Source organism: Homo sapiens, chromosome 21 (genome assembly GCF_000001405.40).
Source record: "Homo sapiens chromosome 21, GRCh38.p14 Primary Assembly".
Lineage (NCBI taxonomy): Eukaryota > Metazoa > Chordata > Mammalia > Primates > Hominidae > Homo > Homo sapiens.
Window position 1 is genome coordinate 18,984,556 of NC_000021.9, and position 26,818 is coordinate 19,011,373.

General features: G+C 34.7%; 1 annotated feature.

Annotated features, from left to right (window-relative positions):
- Positions 2,952-3,452: an enhancer, noted in NCBI's record as "H3K27ac hESC enhancer chr21:20359825-20360325 (GRCh37/hg19 assembly coordinates)". NCBI's record gives its function as "activates a minimal SCP1, AML or CMV promoter by ChIP-STARR-seq in primed H9 embryonic stem cells {active_cell/tissue: H9 hESC(primed)}" and the evidence as "EXISTENCE:reporter gene assay evidence [ECO:0000049][PMID:30033119]".

The following is a 26,818-nucleotide window of genomic DNA, read 5'->3' on the forward strand; positions in this document are numbered from 1 at the left end:
AGTCTGAGAAAATAATTTGAGTGATAACTCCAGTTCTTGGACATATACCAGGACTTAAGTGAATTAAACTCTTTCTCTACTGCAATGCCATGGTGAGGTAATATGGGAAAGAAAGAAAAAGTACAATCATTATATCATCATACTCTTCCTTTGGCAGGAATTGCATAGTTATACCAGCATTCTTCTCACCTCTTCCCTACTCCCTCTTCCCCTTATCAACTCATGTTGAGTCTGAATACGTACTTGTGAAGGCGTGTAAACCGGCCCTTTATGCTTTTACAGCCCCTTGTTTCAGACAACCAATGTTCTAATTGCCCATTTTACCTGTCTATCAAATCATTACTCTGAGAAAAATATCACTTTGTCTATTACTGTACATTATTGGCTGAACCATATGTTGCTTGGTCTGAAGAAATGATCATTGGCCTCTGGCTATCCAAATTCATGTAACGTTTAGTGTTCTCTCTCTTTTTTTTTTTTTAATGGCACTCTGAGCATTTTCATCAACCAGTAGGTAAGCAAAGTCCAGTGCAGAATCAATGTCTGTTCCTGTCAAGACCCATAGGTAACCTCCCAGGGACACCAGCATTAGTCTTACTTGCCAGCTAAGTTACTTGCCAGTATTAGTCTTACTTGCCAGCTATGTTCAGGATATCCCTGCTAGGAAATCTATTCCACAGTTATGTGCAGTCTCTGACTCTCTTGCTGATGAACAGAACAGTTCTTACTGGCATTTGGAGCCTTAGAGGGTACAAGAAGAACACATCCAGATTCAGCCCATCTCTGCATTGCTGTAGTACCCCCATATGCACTTATTTCATGGATCTAGGTAGTCACTTCAAAGAAGCACATGAGGATATCTGCTTATCAATTTGAATTACCTTCCAAACCTGGAAGGAGGCTGCTCTGATGGCATGGAAATGTCCTACTCTAATCTGCCACTCCAAGTTCCATGAAGCCATGCCCCATACATTTAATAGGCCGGGTTTCCATTGTCCTCCCCTCTGACTGTGTTGATAAGCCATTGACCACCACTCATGAGTCAGTAAAAACCCAAACACAGGGGCATTTGTCACTGTTCAATTCTTTAGCATGCTATTCAGCCCACCAAGCTGACTTGTTTTTACTTTTTTATTTTTTTCATCAATGTGTCATCCTTTGAAACAGAATGTTGTTTATTTACTTTGGAACTGTCTTCTACACACTAAGCAGTTCTTTGCCAGTCAGGTGAGAGGTATTTATAGGACACTGTGCAAGTGATGATAGAATCCAGCAACTCCTCATGAAGCTCTAAAATGTGCTCTGGAGAAAAAGAAGCTTTCTGTTACTTAACATCTCTCCTTTGCATTCCCCAGGTAGCATGCTCCTGTGTAAACCATTTTTTATTTTACTCTAAAACTCCTTGGGCATTTCTATCCTCATTAGAGCATTTCTCTGACGTTACCCAAGACATCATAAAAATTTCCAGTTTCATTATTTAATATGTTTCAGTCCTAGGGGTAGCTTCAGCGATGTTAAGAAAAGACCATGAGATCTGCAAGAAAAAGAGAGAGCTTTACTTGCTTTAAAAAATTACCTGTAGATTGGGGAAATGCAGCCTGTGGTATAAAAGAAAAATATGCTCCTAAGAACAAATAGAGAGTTTGGCTTAAAATGAAGAAGTTTCTGTTTAGGTTCTCAGTCAGTTTTATTATGGAAATGAAGTATTCAACTTGGTCTGTTCTAAGTTGTTGAAACAGTCCAACTCTGATTGGGTGGTTTCCAAGTCCAAAACCAGAAGCCTTTGTCAGATGTTTTCTTTTAAATGGTTGTTGGGGAGCTTCGTAGCAATTTATTTTGGCTCTGGTTGCAGGAACTGTTTCAGCTCAGAGGTGTAAAACAGAATGTTTGTCTGAGAACCTACAGCGCCTGGCCACTCTTTCTGACTGTGCTATGGCGTCTGGTTCTACTTCTAAATTTAGAGCATCTCTATTAGCCACAGGGAGTCCATCTCATCCGGAGAGTCTGGGGTCTTAATCTAGAGTTTTATTTTATAATAGCAAGGTAGTAAATTTACCTCAAGTGGAAATTCTCTAGTTCAAAATCCCGGTAGTCATCACTAGGAGGAACTCACAGGCTTTTGACATAAGATGCAGTTTACATTTCACATAGGGCTATCAAACAGAAAATTTGTTTATGCCAGCACTCCAGTTTCTATTTTACGCTCTCTGAGCTTGGGCAATCTTACTGGTTCCCATTTAGCACATTCAATTAATACAGCTTGAATGGTGGATTTACATGCCTTTTATTTTATGGTACTAGCTAGGTAGGGAAAATATTCCCCAGTCAGACATAATATTCATTCCCATAAAGCATTTAGGTAAGTGAGATACAACTTCTCTATTTAAAGCCTGTTTAACATTCTAACTTTCATAATCCTATTGATAGGGACGGGGGCAGGGAAATTCTAGGCAAAAAACGGCAGGAACCCAGCAAAAACCCACCCCGAAGCCGAAAAGTCTGAAACTGGCCCAAAGTGGGAATTTATATCCCTGTTCTCCTGCTGGAATGTTGTCTTTTCCTAAACCACCCATGGTCCCGCCCTACACCATCCTGTACCTATACAAACCCCAGACTCAGCCAGTAGACAGGACTATGGTTGGACATTGGAGAGAAGCAGCTTGATGGCTTAACACCGAAGAAGAATCCAGCCAGAGACAGCCAGACTTCCGGGGAGGGTTACCTACCGACCCTGTCTCCTTCTCAGCTCCCCTTCCTGCCGAGAGCCACTTTCATTCACAATAAAATCCCCCACATCCACCACCCTTCAATTTATTCGTGCAACCTCATTTTTCCTGGCTGTTGGACAAGAGCGCGGGAGCCACAGGTGGAGATACAAAAAGCTGTCACATTGGCCCTTTGCCCTTGCTGGCGGAGGGCAGCCGCCTCACACAGAGGCAGAGGGCCCACTGAACTGTTAACACTTAAGCCATCTGCAGATGGCAGAGCAAAAACAGCACTGTAACATGCCCTCTGGGGCTTCGGGAGTTGCAGGCACCCACACCTGGATGCTACAGTGGAGCCTGAATGTCGTTTGCTTCTGCCAGTGCCCCAAAGCAACAGCTCCAATTCCTGCACCCACTCGCCTGCGCGCTCCCTCAGTGGAGGGGTGGAATGCAGCAGGTCCAAGTTAATGGAGTTTGATGCCGCTGGTGCTGAGGCAGCTGGCTGCTTCCACTGCTGGTTTACTCCGGTTCCCGCACTTGTTTGCTAGCAAGCTTCCTCCGGGGAGCTGTTGAGGGCAGAGTGTGAGTAGAGGAGGCACCCCTGTTGAGAGTCCTGCCTAGGAGTCAGGGAAACATACTGCTTTACTATAAACCCGGGAGCTGTTGAGGGCAGAGTGTGAGTGTGAGTAGAGGAGGCACCCCTGTTGAGAGTCCTGCCTAGGAGTCAGGGAAACATACTGCTTTACTATAAACCCTTACGTTTTTTTGTATTCTAGTCCCAGGAACTTCTTCATCCTCAGGCCATTTTACCCATTCTTGTGAAAAAGGCTTTGGTTGAGATAAAGGACACTGGCCTGTTTATCAATCTTTATCTTGATTAATTTGCCTGACTATTGCCCCAGGCAATTTCAGATCGGATTTCTCATCATAATCTCTGCCTTCTGACTCTTTAAATTTCTCCAAACTGGGGTAAACATAGCAAAACTTTTTGGAACCCCTTAATGTTGGGGAACCAGCAGGGACTCCCTTTGGTCCACCAAACCTTTGATAGTATTGTGTTAAGACTTTTGTTTTAACACCATAAACACAATTTTATTTCACTTATCTCATTTTAAAATAAGAATCTAAAGATTTCCAGTCCTGGCTGGGCACGGTGGCTCACGCTTGTAATCCCAGCACTTTGGGAGACCGAGGCGGGCGGATCACGAGGTCAGGAGATCGAGACCATCCTGGCTAACAAGGTGAAACCTCGTCTCTACTTAAAAAATACAAAAAATTAGCCGGGCGTGGTGGCGGGCGCCTGTTGTCCCAGCTACTTGGGAGGCTGAGGCAGGAGAATGGCGTGAACCCGGGAGGCGGAGCTTGCAGTGAGCCGAGATCGCGCCACTGCACTCCAGCCTGGGCGGCAGAGCGAGAATCTGACTCAAAAAAAAAAAAAAAAAAAAAAAAAAAAAAAAAAAAAAAAAAAAAAGATTTCCAGTCCCATGACTTTCCCTTTTTTTCAATTAGTCTTTTTTGTTGTTGTTGTTCAGATCTCCACGTTTATTCAGATTTGTATGTGGAATTTAAATGTGTTATGTATTTTTTGTACAAATGCATGCTAGCATCCATAGAACAAATGTCTTTTTTTTGATATCTGATCAACTTTTTTTATTTATTTATTTTAATTATACTTTAAGTTCTGGAGTACATGTGCAGAACGTGCAGGTTTGTTACATAGGTATACACGTGCCATGGTGGTTTGCTGCACCCACCAACCCGTCATCTACATTAGGTATTTCTCCTAATGCGATGTTCCCCTCCCTATGTCCATGTGTTCTCATTGTTCACCTCCCACTTATGAGTGAGAACATGCGGTGATTGGTTTTCTGTTCCTGTGTTAGTTTGCTGAGAATGATGGTTTCCACCTTCATCCACGTCCCTGCAAAGGACATGAACTCATGTTTTTTTTTTTACTTTTATTAATTTCTTCTTTATACGCCTTATGTCTTCATAATTGTTTAATAATTTCCACCTTCTAGAATAAATCCTTTGACTTTCCCTTTGGCCTTTCTCCACTCTCTTGTTAATCACTCTAATGTTTTCAGCAGCATCTGTAAGATCCATGAGGGAAATCTGAAACAACAAATCTGACAAGGCTTCCTAAACTATCCTTCTGTTTTGCAACAGCAAGATTAAATGAGGCATCCATGTTAAAGGGGCAACCTTAATCACAGCATTTGCCATAAAAGGCGTATTCAGCAGGTGAATATTTTGGTCACCATAAATTCAGTCCCACATAGCTTGCATGTGAAACGTATCAGCTAATTCATCTAAGGCGTTCCACTTGGCATTTACACAGGGAGTCAAAAAATCTCCCTTCTCCTGGTAAACAGATGTTCTAGTGGCTTTTTTTTTTTCAGTCCACTAGGCTGGTAACTCCCTCAAGAATAACCTCTATGTGTCTGGATTGTGTGTAACTATATTTGATTGTTCCATGGTGAGCAGTGGGGTTTGCATCAACCCAAACATGCTCTTTCAACTCTGCAGCCTATAAAACCAAAAGCACTGCTCCTAAATTAGATTGTCTCACAATCAATTTTAGTAAATGTTCCTGAGGAAGCTGATGAAATATATCTACAAAATAAAACAATTTCTTCATGCTATACCCTCTGGTTTCAATATACTACTCCCCTAAAAAAAACAGGGTTCCTTCACTTAGTGAGTAACAGATGACTCTCCATGAGAAGACAGGTTTTGATCAATAGGGATTTTATTACTTGGAACAGGTAAGGAGGACACTGAAAGTATTATTCAATTCAAGGCGCTGTGTCTCTGAGAGAAAGTGACAGAAGGGTTTTATGGGGTGATGGAGAGGAGGGAGGGTGAATCATTGCATGTAGAGAAGAGGTCCCAGTGTCGAAGATGTGGTGAGTCGTTATGCCAGCACGTAGGTCAGATGTTATAATAATGAAGCCCCCGTCCCTCCCAGGGTGGAGATTTTAGCATGGTAATGAGGAAAGTTTATGTGGGTTAATCTATAAATTGCTGGAATCCGTCAGGAGCCGGTTTGAACCAACTAGGTGACCACATTCCACACAGGGTTTTGAAAAAGCAAGACTGCAAAGCAGGAGGCTGTAGAACAGGCTGATTGCTCAAGGTTATTAAATTCCTGTACCCTGGAGACCCTCCCTGTCTGCTTAAAAAAATGTTTCTTGGTTTTGTCCTTTACTCACATTGACTATTTTCTTGATAACCACAGGTTCTAGAAGTACTTGCTTTTGTCCCTGCATAAATTTGCCCTCGGGGAATTTTGCCGAAGTTCAGACTGGCTGAAATATGAGCTCGGTATAGCATCAAGTTTTGACCCAGCACTCTCTTTTAACTTCATTTTAGCTATTGCAGAAAACAATAACAAAGAGGCTGAATATTTCACTGTTTTCTTATTAGTTTGCATTTCCCTATGTGCCCAGTGAACCAGCTCTGTGGGAGTTTGATCCATCACTAAATTCCATGGTAACTTTTACCTTTAGTAACTTCTTGTAGCACAACTGTGGCTCCATACCATGGCTGGCCAGATAGTCCACGAAGTACCAAAGGTTTTCTCCTGCCCTACCCACTCATCCTTTCTCTTGCCGAGCCACAGTTTTCTGTGAGCCAGGGCCATTTTAACAACTTCTGATTCACTGATACCAATTTTGAATTTGTGAACACCCAAAGTGTTGTATCACTCTTAGAATTTGTTCAGTAACTAAATGAGAAAAAACAAATGTTTTGTTAAAATAAGGAGAGCATGATTAGCATAAAGTTTCATGTGTCTATCTAGGAGTAAACAACGTAGAGTAGTAATGATCATAAACGAATAAGGTGAATGAAAATATGATTTTCTTTTCATTGGCAAATAAATAAATTTAGAATGATACATGTGAAAGTCAGAAAAATGTTCATTAGTATTGACAAGAAGGGCAATTAATTTGAAAGAGGGAAATATAACTAGTTTATTTGTGTTTTTAAATCTGTTATGTCTTTAAAAATAAAAGACCATGCAAAAATAAAGCATTTGTTTTGGAAAGGCAGTCAATTTAACCACAAAGATTAAATGGGGTTGTATAATAATCAATTGAATTAAAAAATTCTTGTGTCTACAATACTAAGCTTCATCATAGAAAGATAATACATAACTACTCTGATTTCAAAAGAAAGTGATATGACTATGAGATGCAGTTGTTAAGACCATTTGGATTGAAAATTCTTCTTCAAAGTGTCAAGTCAGTCACATTATCTATTTCCTAGGAGCCCATGTGGAAATCATAGAAAACAGACATTTGGATTTGGGATTCCACGTATCCCCCAGCTTTTGACCTCCTGGTTCCAAGCTACTACTTTTATTATGGCACCCATATGGACTACAAAAGTGTACTAGACAGACAGGCTTTCTATATTTGGTTTTTACATTGTCTGGGTTCCATCTCTGTGAATCTCTGGTCTCATTATACCTCATGGGCTTTTTTTCTTCTATTGACTAAAGATTTTTCTGTTGTTGTTTATTTTTCAGGGTTGTTATGTCCCTCCATTGCCTCTCAGCTGTTACTACTTTTCTTTTAGTATCTTCCTTGGCCTAGCCTATAGTTAGAGTTAGTCACACTGTAGAATATTTTAAAAATGAAAATAAAGAAATACAAAAAATAAAAATAAAAATTTCTACTACTTGGAAAATGTATCTTGAGCACATTTAAATTAAATTCAATTAGAATTTTAAATACAATTTTATTAATTTAGATTAATTATATTAAATCAAATTAATAAAATGTGTTAAAATTAAAAGTTTTTAAAATATTAATCTATATTTATTATATTTCAGTTAAATATATTCTATTTATCTAAATAGATCCAACTGGGTCTACTCTATCCATATGGGACTAGAATCCATCATCCTAACCGTTTTGCTATGGTTCCTCTCCAAACATACATATATAGGTTATCCTTTGTATATGCTCCATATATTACATCATGCATGTATTCATTATGCCCAAATATGGAAAAGAAATGGTTATACTGACAGAGACTAATTATTTTGAACTGCATTGATAAAAATATATTAACAAGAAGAAAAGCTGTAGATGAAAACAGAATACTGGTCAAATTCTTCCTGGAATCAAGTCTCAATCTTTGACCCTCACATAGTGAAAAGAAATGTACTGAAAGCTGGGTAATCAGGATTGAGAGGACTTTCTTTGTATTTACTAGTTTCTTTGCCTGGAATATTTTTCCACAGCTAACTCGATGCCTGGCTCCTTCCGTGCTGTTTTTTTTTTTATTATTTTTTATTATTTTATTTTATTTTGAGACTGAGACTCGCTCTTGTCCTCCAGGCTGGAGTGCGATGGCGTGATCTCTGCTCACTGCAACCTCCGCCTCCCTGGTTCAGGTGATTCCCCTGCGTCAGCCTCCTGAGTAGCTGAGATTTCAGGGGCCACCACCACACCTGGCCAAATTTTTTGTATTTTTAGTAGAGACAGGGTTTCACCATGTTGGCCAGGCTGGTCTTGAACTCCTGACCTCAGGGGATCTGCCCACCTCGGCCTCCCAAAGTGCTGGGATTACAAGCTTAAGCCACCACCCCCGGCCAACCTTCACGTTTTAGATACGCTCTCCTGATCTAAAGCAGTCGTGATCCAAAGCATCCCGTGTCCTGCTCTGGCTTCATTGTTCTCTATTCAGAGCCTCGGTTATGTGCTTCAGAGAACTTACTAGCATTTTCAGCAACAGTATTTCTTTGTTTCTTTGTGCTCTATCACTATCAGAAGAATGTACATTCATTAGGTGAGGAATCACATCTATCTTGTTTACGGTTGTATCCCAGAACATAACATGAGTTGTTTTTTTTTTTTTAAAAAAGCATTACTAAATGTTTTTTTTTAATAAAGGCACAAGAAAGTCAAAGTTAAATAAAATATAGAAAAGAACCTCTAAATGTAAAATGTTTTATTTCAGGAAGCAAGAATTGCAATTCAGGCCATCCATGTAGACCAGGTAGTTTTTTGTATGTCTGAAGAACAAACAGAAATTCAGAGGTCTTATATAAAAAGATAAATGTTATATATTATTCTTCAAGAAAGTTCATTGGTACTAGTAAAGTTTTGGGGAGCTAGTAAGTTCTAACTGGTAAGTGACTGTGGTGGGCAAAACTATACTTGGAATTGCAGTAGGTTGTTTCAGTAGCTATTAGATAATCAAGATTTAATAAAAATGAAATAAATATCAATGCCTTAATATTAATGAATATAGAGCTAATTTGTAATTATTAATTAATTTTATATTATTAATATAGTATTTTGATGTTGAATTAATTATGATGAGTGATTACAAGTACAAGGAGAAATTTTGACCTTCATTGAACAATAATTGTGTATTGAAGTACCTTGAAAGGCAACTTCCTTAACTGGAAAGAAAAATGCCTTTAACCACAGAAGCTGTGAGAATGAGGAGATACAAAAACATAGGCAAGGTAGTACTTAATTTCTGAATCCCAAAATAGTACTACAATTGGCAAGGTGTGGAACCTCGGACAAGTTATTTAACCTTGGAATTTCAATTTTATGTCTGTAAAATGGTAATAAAACCATTCACATCTCACAAGTTGATGAGTGCTGTAGGTATATCATTTTGAAATGCATTATTAAGATATCAATATTATAATGTTATAATCATAACATTTAAATGGTTTTCAATCATTTAAAAGGGTGTTTATATGAAAGCTACACAATTATAATATTATAATCACAACATTTAAATGGTTTCCAATCATTTAAAAAGGTGTTTATACCGAAGCTACACAATCAACTAGTGGGATAACAAAAAAATAATTGGGCCAGGCATGATGGCTCAAGCCTGTAATCCCAGCATTTTGGGAGGTCACGTTGGGAGGATTACTTGAGACCAGGAGTTTGAGACCAGCCTGGGCAACATAGGGGGATTTCCTGTCCACAAAAAATAAAAATAAAAACTTGCCAGATGTGGTGGTGTGCACCTGTGATCCTAGCTAATTGGGATGCACAAGTGGGAGGATTGCCTAAGTCTGGGAAGTCCAGGCTGTAGTGACCCGTGATCACACCCCTGCACTCCAGCCTGAGTGACAGAGCAAGACCCTGTGAAAAAGAAAAAGAAAGAATGAAAGAAAGAACAAAAGAAAGAAAGGAAGGAAGGAAAGAAGGAAGGAAGGAAGGAGAAAAAAGGGGGAGGAGGAGGAGGAAGGAGGAGAAAGAATTGCACAGCTGGTCGAGATTTTGTTCAGCTCTGGAATTTTTGTTTTGTTTTGTTTTGCTTTTGTTTTTGTTTTGAGATGGAATTTCGCTCTTGTTGCCCAGGCTGGAGTGCAGTGGCATGATCTCAGCTCATTGCAACCTACGCCTCCCGGGTTCAAGTGATTCTCCTGCCTCAGCCTCCCTAGTATCTGGGATTACTGTTTCCACCACCACACCTGGTTAATTTTTTGTATTTTTAGTAGACAAGGGGTTTCCCCATGTTAGCCAAGCTGGTATTGAACTCCTGACCTTAATTCATGCAAAAAGAATAGACAAATATGCTATGTCTGTCGGGTGAATATACAGTATTTTATCAGATAGTACAAGAAATTAAAAGTGACCACTGCAGCTTATTATGTCTGAAGTGCATTGTCTCTTCTAAATGCAAGTTGCCTTGGTGGCAGATTATATCTAGGCTTGTGCCAAGAAGGGGGAAAAAAGAAAACACCAATTCATGTTTCTAACGCAGAAATTTTCTGTGATGGTATTACTGAAACACCAGGGGTTCAGTGTAGGTCCTGCCACTTGCTGCATAGAAAGCCAATCACTGAGACAAAAATCACTGCCAAGGAAGAAGGCTTTAACGGGGTGCTGCAGCCAAGGAGATGGGAGTTCAGTCTCAAATCTATCTCCTTGAAGGACTAAAATTAGGGGTTCACACAGCACGGAAAAAGTGTAATAATTTGTTAGAAAACAAGAACTAGTGTGTGATAAGGAAACAAAATGTGGGATCCCAGTATCTCATTGTCTGGATGCAGTGATCTCGTGAGTTTCAGACCTTGATACTTTTTGAGAGATCTAGGGGGTCGTTTCTTGAGGATGAAACTCAGATAAAATAAATGTAAGTTTCAAGCTTTAAGACTGGAGGAGTCAATTTCTATGTTTATCCAAAAGAGCTGTGTATGGGACTGTTGGATCAGTTTCAAGGCTTGAGCTAAAAAAAACCTATTGAAACTCTTCTGAATCTTCCTATATGCTTCTTCTGGGGATGATCATTGAAATCAATATATATTTCTTCTAAACAAAAGGGAAAGCACAGTTCTTACTTTTCAAAATATCTTTGGATAAATGTATATAGTTGAAATGCTGTCTCACATTCACTACTTCGAATTAAGAAATAACACTGCATTAAGCTCTAATAATTAAACAAAACAAAACAAAATATAGTGACCATATTATCTAGTTACTTTTCATGAAAATAATGTTTAAACATAACCTATTTTTACATCAAGAAATTTTATCTAATATCACTTTGGTTCTAGTTTTACATTTGCCTGTGAAGATCACAATGCATCATTTATTCTTCCAGAAGCTATCTGATTTTGAAGTAACAAAATGATTTTCTGAGAATCCAAATACAAAAGCTTAAGTGTGGGTAAAATGTTTGCATATATATTTGAACATACTTGTTATGTATGTTGGTGTACTAAGACAAGGGCAAATGTAGTTTGTTTGTATTCAAACTGCAAAACGTACACAAATTACCAAGATACCCATAATAAAATACCTCTTTGACTTTTCTGATGGTTTAGTTTATAATAAATTTTCAATGAAATATTTTGTAAAAAATTAAAATAGATATGAAAGTAGCTTGATATAAACTGAATATTGTAAAAAGTGTTTTTGCAATTTTCTGCTAGTTTATATATTTAAAAAATTTCATATTCTTAATTATTGTATTTTAAAGATCACATTTCTCCATACATGAAAATAGAAACCAAGTGAGTGTGTATATGTATTCATTTAGCTTTTGTATACATATGTACACATATACACATATACAGTTATATATGTGCATATATACATGTGTGTGTCTGTGTGTAACAAGATAATAGATTAAATGAAGAGGAATATGGCATACTATTGGTTAATAAGTATATTTATATTGTGTGTTTAATAGGAAGTCTTACATATAAATTCTATCTTCTTAAAGATGTCAGAATAACCATTATAAGTCATAAACTGTCACTTTTTTTACAAAGTTGTTAAGATGAAATTGAATGCTTTTGCACAAATATCTCAGCCCTGAAGAGCGTTATGTTTTCAATGAGTTTTAAAAATTTTTTAGTCATCTTTCCTATAGAGCTGAAGAATAAGCCCCAGTATCATTCTGAACGGCTGTTTTATGGTATTTATTTAATTGGTACTCTAAGGAATTCAGCTTTTGAACAGTGAAATTTTCACTCATGATGTTTATTTATTGAATGCCAAATGTATCATAAACTATTCCAGAGACAAAGTGATTTTCCTATAAAATTAATATTTAAAATATTGAAAGCTTTGATAATTAATTCATCATTGTAACTTACATATATACTTTTTATTAACTAAAATTTTATCTCTCAACTCCCAAATTATAACTTGTTATTCTTCCATCCGTTCTTCTGAAAGAAAGCACTTGGTTTAACACAGCTCCATAAATAATTTTTTCCAATAGTAATCTGTTCAACATTTTTAAGTTGACAACCAAAATATTGATGTTATAGCTGCCTTCACTAATATGACTTATGATTCTGTAAAAGCCTCACTTGATTTATAGAAGATACTTCAACTTCCATTAAATCTTCCTTTAATGATCCTGAGTTCTATCTTTTTTGTAAGAGCATCACAATTTCTAAACAAAGCTAGGTACAAATGTCTGAGGAGGCCAACCATTATTTCCTCAGAGTTACGGGAAGATAGTTTTTTTTTCTTTTTTCAATGTGCTGCCTTTTGGAGCAACAATTAATTTGATATTTGAAGTTCTTTGGCCAGAATGTTAATGCTTCATGCATTATAAAGTGTTGCATATTTATTTCTCTTTAATAGATACCAAAAGAAAGTAAATACATTTAAATAATTAAAATTTCTTGTAAGATTTTTTACTATGGTTTAAATGTGTCCCCCAAAGTTCATGTATTGGAAACTTAATCCTCAATGTAACAGTCTTCGGAGCTAGGACTTAATAAGAGGTGATTAATGTATGAGGGCTCTACCCTTACAAATAGATTAATGTTATCATGAGAGTGAATTAGTTATCATATAAGTAGGCTTGTTATAAAAGTTGGACCTTTCACTCTGTTGCTCCTTTATCTTTCCCCATAGAATGATGCAGCACGAAAGCCACCACCAGATGCTGGGGCCATGCTCTTGGACTTCTCAGCCTCGAGAACCATGAGCCAAATAAAATTCTATTGTTTATAAACTACCCAATCTCGAGTGTTGTTACAGTCATACAAAACAGATGAAGACATTGCTGAATTGTTTTTGTTTTTTATTCTTTCCTTTATTTTTTCTCCCATTACCTGGTATTATTATTAGGCTCCATAATTCAGTGTAGTATTGTTATATTTACTAAAAAGCATATATTTGATCATATGCTAGCTAAAGGATTCTAGATATATTAGAATATAAAATTTAAAACTTTTACTTTTGGTGATCAATTCTATCAAAAAACTAATAATCATACATAATTCTCATGGAAAATATTTTTCACCAAAAAATTCTTTTGTTTCAAATTAGTTCTCTAATATCAAACATGCATACCTAAATAATGAACTTATTTTACACCTCTCCATTTTAGTGATTTACAAACTACATAATAGAAAATAAATCCTCACTTAATATTGTCAGTAGGTTCTTAGACATTGTGACTTTAAGTGAAACAACGTATAAAATAACTACTTGTTTTTCATGAGTGTTATAGAAAATGAAGTTGAAGATAAAGATGTCCTTTGAGGACATGCTGCATATTTTTTCTTTCAAAGTTTCAGTTTCCAAGAAGCTATCAATGGTGTTAAATAAAGAATTGCTGTATTTAATTTAATCAGTGCTTTCCTGTGTTGGAAAGGGGTTTTGAGACACTATTTCATTCCGTTCACCCTCTTGCTCTCTGTACCTATTTTCTTGGATTTCTCAGTATATAACATTGTGAATAAAACTGGAATAAATTAAATGACACCTCAATAAAAATATTTGTTCCCCAAAAACTGATATTTCTGTAGAAAATACTTGTTATTTTAGTTACATTTTTAAAACAAAGTGTAAATAATAACTTCCTAGGTGCTGGCACTCTTGATACTCTTTACTCTGCTCTGATTGTTCCAAAGTGTATATGCTATAGTCAGAATGCTTTTGTCCCCATATAATTTATATCTTGAAATCTTAATATCCAAGCCAATAATATTAGGAGGTTGGTCTTTTGGGAGATGATTAGGTCATGAATGCAGAGCCCTCATGAATGGAATCATTGCCCTTATAAAATAGGCCCATGCGGGCACAGTGGCATAGTGTGGACCTGTAATCCCCACTACTCAGGAAGCTAATATGCAAGGATTGCTTGAGACCAGGAGTAAACCAGCTGGGGCAACAGAGTGAGACCATATCTCATAATGAATAAATGAATTAATGAATGAATAAATAAACAGGCCCAATAGGCCCATTTACCCTTTCTATCATGTAAGGACATAGCGAGAGAAAGCACAACCTTTGAATTAGGAAATGGGCTCTCACTAGAAACCGTGTTTGCTGGCACCTGAATTTTGTGTTTGCCAGTCTCCACCTATGAGCAATAAATTTCTATGATACTTTATATTTCAGCCCAGATCAACTAAGACAACATGTCTTCTAAAATGCTACATATAAAATGTACTTATTTATTTGTAAAAATTGTATTGATTGGTTATCTCTCTAGAAAGTAAGTTTTATGGAAGAACTTTGTAAATAAATAAGTGAATAAACAAGTAAATGAATAAGCTGGTTTTACACTTGTTCCCTGAATTATATTGTAATTTTAAGTATAACTTCTCTTACAATTTTGTTTCATATTATACGAGTAAGTAAAAATAATCTGGAAGCATATAACTTTTCAATGAAACTTTAAACAAAAATATTCTAAATTAAGTTAACTGGCAAGGATTTATTATAATGGATGAAATATATTGGGATATAATTGGTCAAAAAATATAAAAATTATGACAGTTATTTAGGAATAAAAATACATTTATTAATTATACATTAAAATAAAAGAACTAAAATAGCTATATAAAAATCTTTTGGAATTAATTTTTACTGGCTCATAGTAATTCTAAATATTACTTACACAATATTTTAACAGTGAACACTCAGTGCCTATTCTGTACTTTTATCCCTTTACATACAATAATTTCCCAAAGTGTCATAGCAATATTAACACTAGAAAATGGCTATTAATACTTGTTTATATAAAAGCTAAATTTTGTAATTTTAGAATGTTATAGAATGCAACATCTTTTCTAGGTGAGTTTTTATGATCTTTATGATTAGTTAAATCACTGCCCTAACATTTACAACAGTACAGATGCAGTTTCCTCGCTTGATTCTGTTTCTTACTGTGATTGAGGCAAAGGGCAAAAATCAAAACCTCACATTGGAAGTCAATCAGGAAAGCAACTGTCTGCTTTAGCTACTCTGTGACTGTACCTTGCCTTTTTAAGGATACAATAGACTACGTGTTAAAAACTAGGATGTTCCTCTCTGGAATGTGTGTGGAGTGTGTGTGCGTCACATGTGCACACACATGTATGTGTGTGTGATATATTAGAACAAAAGAGAGATTATCTTGTCCAATTTACCCTCAATTTAGATACTATTTTCTTGGAAACAGACAAAATAAATTACTCAGCACCAGGCCTAATTAGTAAAACAACCAGCATTACAAATCATCTCTTCAGACTCATAACTCAGTGCTTCTTTACCGTTACAAAAATATTAGAATCTAAATATTTTCAATGAATGATGATGTTCTCCGTTGCTACATGTATTCAGTTTAAAGTACTATTTTTCCCTTTTCCTACCCATAATAATTTTGTGTATTTTATTATTGGAATCTCTTATGAAATTTAAAATTTGTTGTGAACTTAATAAAACCTAGCAAAGAGTATTGAATATTCAGAAGAGTGATTTCCCTGCAAACTCCCTAAGTGCTTCTAAAATTATACTGATTAATATAATACACATAGATAAAAAGCTTCTCTCTCTTATAAAATGTGTGAAAAGTTGCATGTATAATAAATAATACTATATTTAATTTCCTAAGTAATGAGTTCACAATGTAATTCCTTACTTAAAAATTTGAAATGATGAGGATGAATATGTCAAAGATTATTACCAACAGAACAATATTTGTTCATCAACTTAGACGGCAGTAGAAATGATGATAATTTTGAAATAGGGCCAAGGCACTAGCTCATGCTCTGTAAGCATACTTGTACTAATAGGCTGAAGACCAGTGTTAAAGTTATCTTTTAGAATAGTAAAATAGCATATGAAAGATACTGCAGTGGCAAAATATGAAGTTGGAAGTTGACTTGAATCTGCAAGAGTGGACCTCAAGAGGTTGTTTCTGGGTGAAAGTAGAGAATAAGTAATAGAAATATTTGAGAATCATTAAATTGGTAGAACTGTTTTATTCACTGTCATAATGGGTTTGGAGTAGAGGAAGTTAAAAAGGTGCTACAGGGTGCAAGTAGGTCTTCATGCTTGCAGGATGCAGGCAGAGAGAGACAAGAAGTGAGTAAGACAAAAGAATATCAAACCATTTTCTAAGCATGGCCATTCAGCCTGTCAGATCTAAGACAGAGGACAGATGTGTAAGACAAGAAACATGGTTTTCATTTATAATACATGTTTCAGATTTAAAATTATTATTAACTGCTATAACTAAAATAAAAACAAAACACTCAAAGTAATAAGGTAGTAATTATATTCATAGATAAATATAATGCAGTGGAATAATTGTTTGCAAATTAAATTAAATAATGAGAACAAAGAAAAATATTTCTTTTTAAATTAAAATAATAATGTTTAATTTACAAGAGCAGAATTTGAAGTCCCAATATTTGATTTGAGATAATCTGAGAAGCCATTTTATAAATACACAAATGAAATTTCTGAAACATTTGCTGGAAACATAGATATTACAATTATCAAATCCAATCTGTACCTTGAATATTTAGAACTACTGTAAGGTTGACATCCATTTAGCAAATGAAGTAGACATAAATATTTCATAACAGATTTAAATTTAAAACAAATTTTAAAGGATAAGACAATTAAAAATTGTGCTAATGACATATCAGATGAGCCATAAAATAATAAAAGAATAGCAAATTCAACAAAATAAAATCTCACTACTAAATACATGAATAAATCTGCTTACCAGTCGTCTATTTACATTAGATAATAGTTTATATTTTGTACATGCATGTAATTTATATAAAGCAGATTTGTAGTTATTCATTTTAACTATTTGAAAGCTTTCTATGAACATATTTTATGGCGGACATTTTCACTCATATGATATTACTGAGACCTGATGGAATCAAAGTTTTAAAAAGATATATAACATTTGTTGTACATAACAAATTTAGTTATATCTAATAAGTATCATGTCTTGGGAATTAAAACTTTAAGCATATGTTTAGTAAAATCTGATATAGTTAAACAGTCTACCTATTTACATAAAATACTTCAATGTTAAAACCTCAGGTTTAGTTTTAATAATAAATACTCAAACACCATTGTTTCTTTCCAGTTGCCCTTTTTTGAATTGTATATTGCCTCACTTCTTATTTTTTCCTCTCTTGTCTCATGAAAAATATTATTTTGAAGTAAAGACCCTGTGTTTAAAATAGCAGTTAATTGAAAATGAAAATAAGAAATACACATTAAAGAAAAAAAACTTTGTTATAGAACGCTCTTGTTAATGCATAAGGATGTTATCCATTTTTTTTCTCCTGTTTGGTTCCTCCTCGGTTAGGAATAACTAGGTGTTTAGGAAGCAATCTTAGGTAATGAAAACAATTAATTACCTTTTTGTAGTGTTTTTATATTTTAACAAGCAAGGACTAGTAATTATCTTGCTAAGGGAAAAATTGATTATTCCTTTATTTATAGAATAGTCTCTCATCCCTCATAAAATGATCAATAAAGCTGTACCTTGGCTTTACTAACAATTTCTTCTTTATCCATCTTTATTGTAAGCAAGCATCTTTTGATATCCATGCCCTGTGATGCTTACGCTTTTAGGAAAAAATTCTTCCTCAAAACAGTTCAAATAATATTATTCACTAATGACATATAAGACTTATTTGCTTTTCTAGTTTATTACTGAGTGAGGTTTGTTTGTTTGCTTGTTTATTTGTAATGGTAGAGAATTCTGAAAAAAAATTATAGGGTGAAAATGAAAAGAAAAAGTAACAATCTTTGAATTGTAATAAATATATTATGACATATTATTATAGAAATGCAGTTTAAAATCTGTTTAGTGGCACTAGTACACATAATTAATTATAGTGTATAAAGAAAAGTCACTTGTATTTGGCTTTAGATAGCAATATGATTTCAACCCATTTCTACCTTTCTAATAGTTTCCCTATAGTTAAGTGGACGATGAGGTTTACTTTCCTGAACATATTCAATCTGATAGTTAGGTGGAGGAAGCCAACAGAATGTTGCCACCCAATGTGGGTGGCAGAATGAAGTCAACCTTGGGTTTCATAAAAATCAGAATGATTGATAGATGTAACCAAGAGGTAAATAGAGAGAAATACACTAAAACAAAATATGAAAATTAAGATTTACTAAAAAGTTCATTTGGGAAGGAATATTTTCTTTTGTATTATATGTAATCTTTAAATGTATGCTTTAGAAGTCAATATTACATGTAATTTTATCATTGTAGTTATATAACGTTAATGTATTCTCTTTCATTAAATCAAAATGAAACTATACTTTTTAAAAAAATATAAATATGGATAGTTTGCATTAATGTATTAAACTCCCCAAATGGGCTTTTCTCTACTAATGGAATTAAGAATATTTTATTTTTCTTAAATAAAAGCCAACCTGTGTAAGTGCAATGATATGATAAGACCAAAAATGTCCGCAATAATGTTGGAAGAAAGGTTTTAATAAAGTAATGCTTATTTAATTTATACTGTTAAAGTATAAAATCATTATAATGAAATAAGAAAACAAAAAATGTAATGTCATTTGCAGATAAGAACTGTGAACTTTTTCTTTTTGGTTTCCAGGCCATTTTTAAAATTTTTAATTTAATCTTTTTAGAGATCAATTCTCCCTGTTTCCTGTGCTGGTCCCAAACTTCTTGGCTCAAGTGATCCTCCTGCCTCAATCTCCTAAGAAGCTGGGACTATAGGCATACTGTGCACTTCTTGATGTAATTATTTTCAGTGATTGTGTGTGTGTTCACAATATGATTTTTAGTGTAATATTTTATTATAATCATTCTCCATTTTATTTGCTCTCAACCAGTATTGTAGACATAATTCTATGATTGCCTCAAAGAGTCCACTTCCTGGTGCATGGTCCCTATGTAATTACTGGAATTTGACAATACAATGGGCTGGTCACACCAGCCATTAGGTTATGTTATATGGTATAGGGACTTTAAGAAAGGGAGGTTATTTTGGGTACACCTGAACTCTCAGGTGAGCCTTCAAAAGGCTCTTCCTAGAGAAGAACCTCAAAGCATAAGAGAGATTACATGATGAAGATTCTGCATTGCTGGCTTTGAAGATGGAGGGGCCACATGAGAAGGAATGGGACCAGTCTGTAGAATTCAATAATGACCCTCAGCTGCTAGCCTGCAAGTAACTGGAAACCTCAATTCTACAACTGCAAGGAACTGAATTTGGCCAATGATCTGAATGAGCTGGAGAAAAAATAATTCCTTTGAGTCTTCAAAAATAAATAATATCTGGTGGACAACTTGATTTTAGCCTTGTAAGACTGTCATCAAAGAACTCAGCTGTACTTTTCTTTAGACATCTGGTTCGCAGAACTCATCCTAATAAATGGATGTTGTTTTAAGCCATGTAAGCCTCCACGTTTGTGAAATTTGTTAGAAAGCAATGGAAAACTAATACAACTAGTATTTTTACACTGGATCTTGTTAACCTGAAATTAATTTCAAATTTCATTATATGCTTATTGGGCATGCTAAGAAGATGATCATGTCGTTAAATATTCTAGTGAATAGATGTCGCTCTTTCCTGTTTTCTCAAATCACATTTTAAAATTATCATAATCACATTAATGAGAATTTTGCAAGAAAATTTAGACACACTACCTCATGTAGCTGGATTAGGCAGAAGTGAACAACCGTTATTTTGCTTTTGTGCCTAAATATTAGTGCCTTACATAAAAAATTGACATCTTGTATTTTAAAGCTCCACAGAGAACAAATGTCACCATTTTTAGGTGACTTAAATATGGTTGTGACATTGTATAAGAAAGGGTTCATAAAGTAAGGACTGTGAAAACTGCTACATATATATTTATAAGCTACACTAAAGACATCTTGGAAATGGATATGTGGTTATTAGTCTAACGTATGGAATCACAGACATTTTCAGAAGTTTACTTCATAAAAATACATTTACTTATGTTTTAATCAACTATTATTTAAATCTATTAGAGCAGTATATATTTAGCTAAATAAATAACTATGTCAACCATATATAAGCATCAACCATTTTATTCTGGAGCAGGTTTTTCTTTTAATTTTTATGTTTTTAGCATTTCTTTTATTTTTATATATTTTTATTATTTTAACCTTTGTTTTCGGTTCAGGGGTACATGTTCCAAGTTTATTATATAGGTGAACTTGTGTCATGTGGGTTGGTTGTACAGCTGATGTCATCACCCAGGTACTAAGCCTAGTGGTGTTAGTTTGTTTTCTGCAGTCTCTCCCTCTTCCCATCCTCCACCTTCTGATAGGCCCCAGTGTGTTTTCCCCTTCTATGTGTCCATGTGTTCTCCTCATTTAGCCTGGAGCAGATTCAGATGACACTCTAAATGCTCTTGTAAAAATAAAAAGATTAGTCATTTTAAACTCTCATTATATTTTAGTATTGATCTGTCAGGAACTTCTTAAGTGAGCTCTAATCAATGTTTTCTTCTTATATTCTTTTAATTTTCTGTTGTAATTTAAACAGTTATGTGGTACAAGTTTCTCTGAGATTCTTTATAGAAAAACATAGAAAAATCATTTTAAACAGAGGCTTTTCAGAAACACCAACTTTATAAAGTTTTAATCTAGATAAAAATAATTTATTGGCTGACATGTCTTTACAAGAAAAATGTTCTTTTTTTCATAAGTTTGTGAAAAACAAAGGCAACACAAAATTTAGTTAAAAGCAACTATAATTTTCTCAGCATAGATAACTGCCTATGCATTTGTTGCTTGTGAATACCTATAAATGGACTTCGGAACCTAAAATCATGGATATAATTGGGGAAAAAAAAGAATAAGCAAATAAGCATTATGTCAAATTCTAATTATACTCTTTTATATAATTAAAATATTTAGGTTACTTCAGTCTGCATTTTAATTGTTAAATATCATTTAAAATAATTTCTTATATTCATTCATACTTACTGAAATATGTCCTGTCCTATTTTCTGGTTGTTACTAAAATTCTGTGATACTATTAAATTCAACTCTGGAAAGCACTGAATTATATAACCTTTTTAAAATAAAATGGCATACATAGATTCCATGCTGAACAATGCACCTAATCTTATAGCATTTTATGTTACTAAAAAATGCTTTAATAACGTATATTTTCTTCACAGTATGAGTATAAATTAACTAATGCTTGTCAAGTATAGTAATTTAAATTATTTAGGATGTCAGTAAACAAAGTTTAATTCTCTCCATCACCAGGAAAAAGTGGTTTTTCATGAAATAGTGAAGAAAAATGTATTTCCTGCCTATGAGTAGATAAAGTGACAGACATTATAATGACTTTAATCAATGTTTCATATAGATTACATTATGGGAAAGAAGGAAGGAGAAATTTATATTATAAAACATATAAATGAACACACACACACATACACACACACACACACACACACACACACACAAAATTGTAACCTTACCTTCTGGTTTCTAGTCTGGCATGTAAAGAGCTTGGAAGTTGCCAATCTGTCCTGACAAGTAAAAGCTGAACACTCTGAAAAACTGACAACTCTTCTTGCATCTATCAGAGAAGTGAGGTAATATAGCAAACCACTACCATCAAAATTGCAGAGACAAACAAGTGAATTCAGAGAATCACGACCTACTGGAGCAGAATCACAACTTACTGGAGCAGAAACCTCCATGGGAAACAGTACCAGGGCGGAAAATCCTAAACTGTAATTGACAAATTGCTGGAGGCTCAGTATGAACAAGTTTGAGACTTAAACACTCCAGGGGGACCCATTCATACAGGGGCCTGCAAACTTGTGTGAGTTTTACCTCAAGGTGCTCATGTTGTCACAGTAAATATCAGAAAAACTCCCTTCCTGCAGGAGGAGGGGTAATAAAAACACTAAAATACGCCAGAGCACTATTTTCTTCCTAACAAGATCCACCCTCAAGACACTCTTTTATCTCAGCCTAAATTATTAGATTTTTTAAAGAGCCTAACTGATCGGAAGGGAAATACCCAACTCCAGCTCTCTGCAGTCATCCTGCCTCACTAACAGGGAGTGGAGGACGATGCTGAGAACCACATGTAAAGTTCATAGACCAAAGGCACAGGCTTATTAAAAAATTGAAACCAAATTATAGGACTATAGAATGCTTCCCATTCCCCCCTTTACATTACCACAACATTACTGAAGGCCTATTTACCACAGTACCTTTTACCCAGTGCATCATAACTTGCTATCAATAAAAACATTAAAGTATATTAAAAGGTGAAAACCACAGTTTAAAGAGATAGATAAACATCAGAACTAGATTCAGACATGGCAGGAATGCTGGACTTATCAGTCTAGGAATTTAAAGCAGTTATTTTTAATATGCTAAGGACTTTACTGGACAAAATAGACAACATGCAAGAAGAGATGTGCAATGTCAGCTGAGATATGGGAATTCTAAAAAAGAATACAAATTAAATGCTAGAGATCAAAACATTGTAACAAAAATAAAGAATGCCTTTGATAGGCTTATGAGTAGACTGAAATCTCCAAGCTTGAAATGTCAATGGAAACTTCAAAAATGGAAAAGCAAGGAGAAAAAAGACTGGATAAATAATAAAGTATATCTAAGAACTGTGGGCCAAGTACAAGTGGTATAACACATATGTAAAGTGAATACCAGAAGGAAAAGAAAGAGAGAAACAGAAGCAATATTTGAAGTAATAATGACTAAGAATTTCCCTACATTAATGCTAGATGTCAAACCACAGATCCAAGAAACTCAGAGAACGCCAAGTAGTTTAATGCAAAAAAGAAAAAGAAAAATATGCCTAAGTGTATTTTATTCAAATTGCAGAAAATAAAAGAATAAAAAAAATTTAAAGAAGGCTGGGGAGGGGATTAGGGAGTACACCCTAACTATAGAGTAGCAAAATTATAAATTACATCTGACTTTTCTTCAGAATCTATGCAAACAGAAGGAGAATTGATTGAAATATTTAAAGTATTGAGAGTAGAAAGCCACCAATCTCAAGATCTGCACCCTGCAAAATTATTGTTTGAAAATAAAAACTTTCTTAGACAAACAAAAATTGAGGGAATTTGTGACCAGTAGACATGCCTTACAAGAAATCTTAAAAGTTCTTCACACAGAAGGATGTAATATAAATCAGTAAAGTGGATCTACCTAAAGAAAAGAAGATCATCAGAGAAGGAAGACGTGAAGGTAAAATAATTACCTTTATTTTCTTATTCTTAATTGATCTAACAGATAACAGTTTGTTCAAAATAGTAACAGCAACAATGTGACAATTATGTATGCTTATGTGTAAGTAAAATGAATGACAGTGAGAAATGAGTGATCCAAGGACTAGTAAGAATTGCTAAGTTCTGACACAAGGAATGGTGGAATTAGGAATTTTTTTTACTAAAAACTACTCGTATTATTTATGAAGAGGTATGGTGTTATGTCAAAATAGATTAATTGTAAATGTATACTTAGGTATAAATCTAATAAAATTTATGTAATTACAAAACTGATGGAAAAAATCAAGGAACTAAAAAAGTGAAAAGATATTCTCTTCATGAATAGGAGGCTTCAATATTGTCAAGATGTCAGTTCTTCCAAACTTATCTACAGATTCTATGTAATCTCAGTCAAAATCCTAGTAAGTGGTTTTGTGAATATCAACAAACTATTTTAAAGTTTATATGGAGAGGCAAGAAACTCCAAATAGCCAGCACAATATGAAGGAGAATAAACACTACCCAACTTTAAGACTTATTGTAAAGCTACAGTAATCAAGACAATATGGTACTGGTGAAAGAATAGACAAATAGTTCAATGAAAAGTTCAACCATTGTGGAAGTCAGTGTGGCGATTCCTCAGGAATCTAGAACTAGAAATACCATTTGACCCAGCCATCCCATTACTGGGTATATACCCAAAGGACTATAAATCATGCTGCTATAAAGACACATGCACACGTATGTTTATTGCGGCACTATTCACAATAGCAAAGACTTGGAACCAACCCAAATGTCCAACAATGATAGACTGGATTAAGAAAATGTGGCACATATACACCATGGAATACTATGCAGCCATAAAAAATGATGAGTTCATGTCCTTTGTAGGGACATGGATGAAATTGGAAACCATCATTCTCAGTAAACTATCGCAAGAACAAAAAACCAAACACCGCATATTCTCACTCACAGGTGGGAATTGAACAATGAGATCACTTGGACACAGGAAGGGGAATATCACACTCTGGGGACTGTGGTGGGGTCGGGGGAGGGGGGAGGGATAGCATTGGGAGATATACCTAATGCTAGATGACACGTTAGTGGGTGCAGCGCACCAGCATGGCACATGTATACATATGTAACTAACCTGCACAATGTGCACATGTACACTAAAACTTAGAGTATAATAAAAAAAAAAATAAAAAATAAATAAAAAATAAAATAAAAAAAAAAAAGAATAGAAAGTCTGCAATTAAACCCATGTAAATATAGTCGATTTATGTTTGACAAAAGACCAATGACAACACAGTGCAGTAAAGACAGTCTTTTCAAAAAATAGCGCTGAAATAACTAGACATCCATATGCCAAAAAATAAAAATAAATAAAATCTAGACACAGGTCTCACACCCTCCACAAAAATTAAGTGAAATGGATCAAAGATCTAAAAGTCAAATGCAAGACTACAAAACTCCTGGAAGATAATATATGAGGAAGCCGAGATATACTTGAGTATACTGATGACTTTTTAATACAACACCAAAGATACAAATCATGAAAGAAAAAATTGAGAAGCTGGACTTCATTAAAATTAAAAACTTGCTCTGCTAAAGACGTTGTCAAGAAAATGAGAAGATAAACCACAAACTAAGGGAAAATATTTGCAAAAATGTATTTGGTAAAGTATTGTTATCCAAAATATACAAGGAACTCATAAATTCAATATGAAAATGAACAACACAACTAAAAAAGTGGACAAAAGATTTGAACAGACGCCTAGCCAAAGAAGATATACAAAATGCAAATAAGCACATGAAAAGATACTCCATGTCATATGTCATTAGAGAGTTGCAAATTGAAACAACAATAAGATACCCCTATACAGCTGTTAAAATGTTGAAAATACAAAATATTAACAATACCAAATGTTGGTAAAAATGTGGAGCAACAGAAACTCTTCACTGCTGGGACAAATGCAAAATGGTACAGACATTTGAAAGGCAGATTAGTAATTTATTATAAAATTAAACATACTCTTACCATATGTTCCAGCGATTACACCACTTGTTATTTACCCAAATGAGTTGAAAGCATGTCCATACAAAAACCTCACAAATGTTTATAGCAGCTTCATAAAAATTTGGAAGCAACTAAGATGTCCTTCATCAGTGAGCAGATAAATTGGAGTTCAGCCATTCAACGGAGCTTTATTCAGTGCTAAAGAGAAATGAGCTGTCAAATTATGAGAAGACATGGAGGAAACTCAAATGCACATTACTAAGTAAAAGAAGTCAATGTGAAAAAGCAACACACTGTATGATTCCAACTATATGACATTCTAGAAAAGACAAGTTATGGAGACAGTGAAAGGATCCGTAGTTTCCAAGGGTTTAGGGGAAAGAAGAGATGAATAGGAGGAACACAAATATATTGTCAGGGAAGTGAAACTACTCTGTATTATACCATATTGATGGATACTGTCATTATACATTTGTTAAAATTCATAGAATTATACAACTCCAAGTGTGAACCTTAATTTAAACTGTGGACTTTGCTCACATGATAATGTCAGTGTAGGCTCATCAACCTTAACAATACATGAGATACCTCTCCAGTGATAGCAAGCAAAGATGTGCAAATGTGAGTGCAGGGAAAATCTCTGTAACTTCAGCTCAATTTTGTTGTGAATCTAAAACTTCTCTAAAAAATGAAGTCTATTAAAAAGTTTTCAATAAAATAAAAAATCTTATTCTGCTCATTTTCTAGACCAGAGATTATTAGCCTGGGGTAATTTTGTTCCCCACTGTCAGGGACATTTAGCAGAGACTGGAGATATTTTTGATTGTCACACTTTCATGAGACTATGGGAGTGTTGCTGCTGGCAGTCAGTGGGTAGAAACAAGAGATATTTCTAAACATCCTATGATGTGTAGCTAACAAGTGTTAACCAACCTCAACTGTCAACAGTGCCAGGATGAGAAACACTGCCCTAGAGCATGCGAAGTAGATTTCTCTTGACCAGTGCATATCCCGAACTAAGCAAACATTTGTCTGATAACCTTTAAAACCCTGGAATCTCTCATTACAATTCTGCTAATTCTCCATGGAAGCATGTGCCAATACTTTCA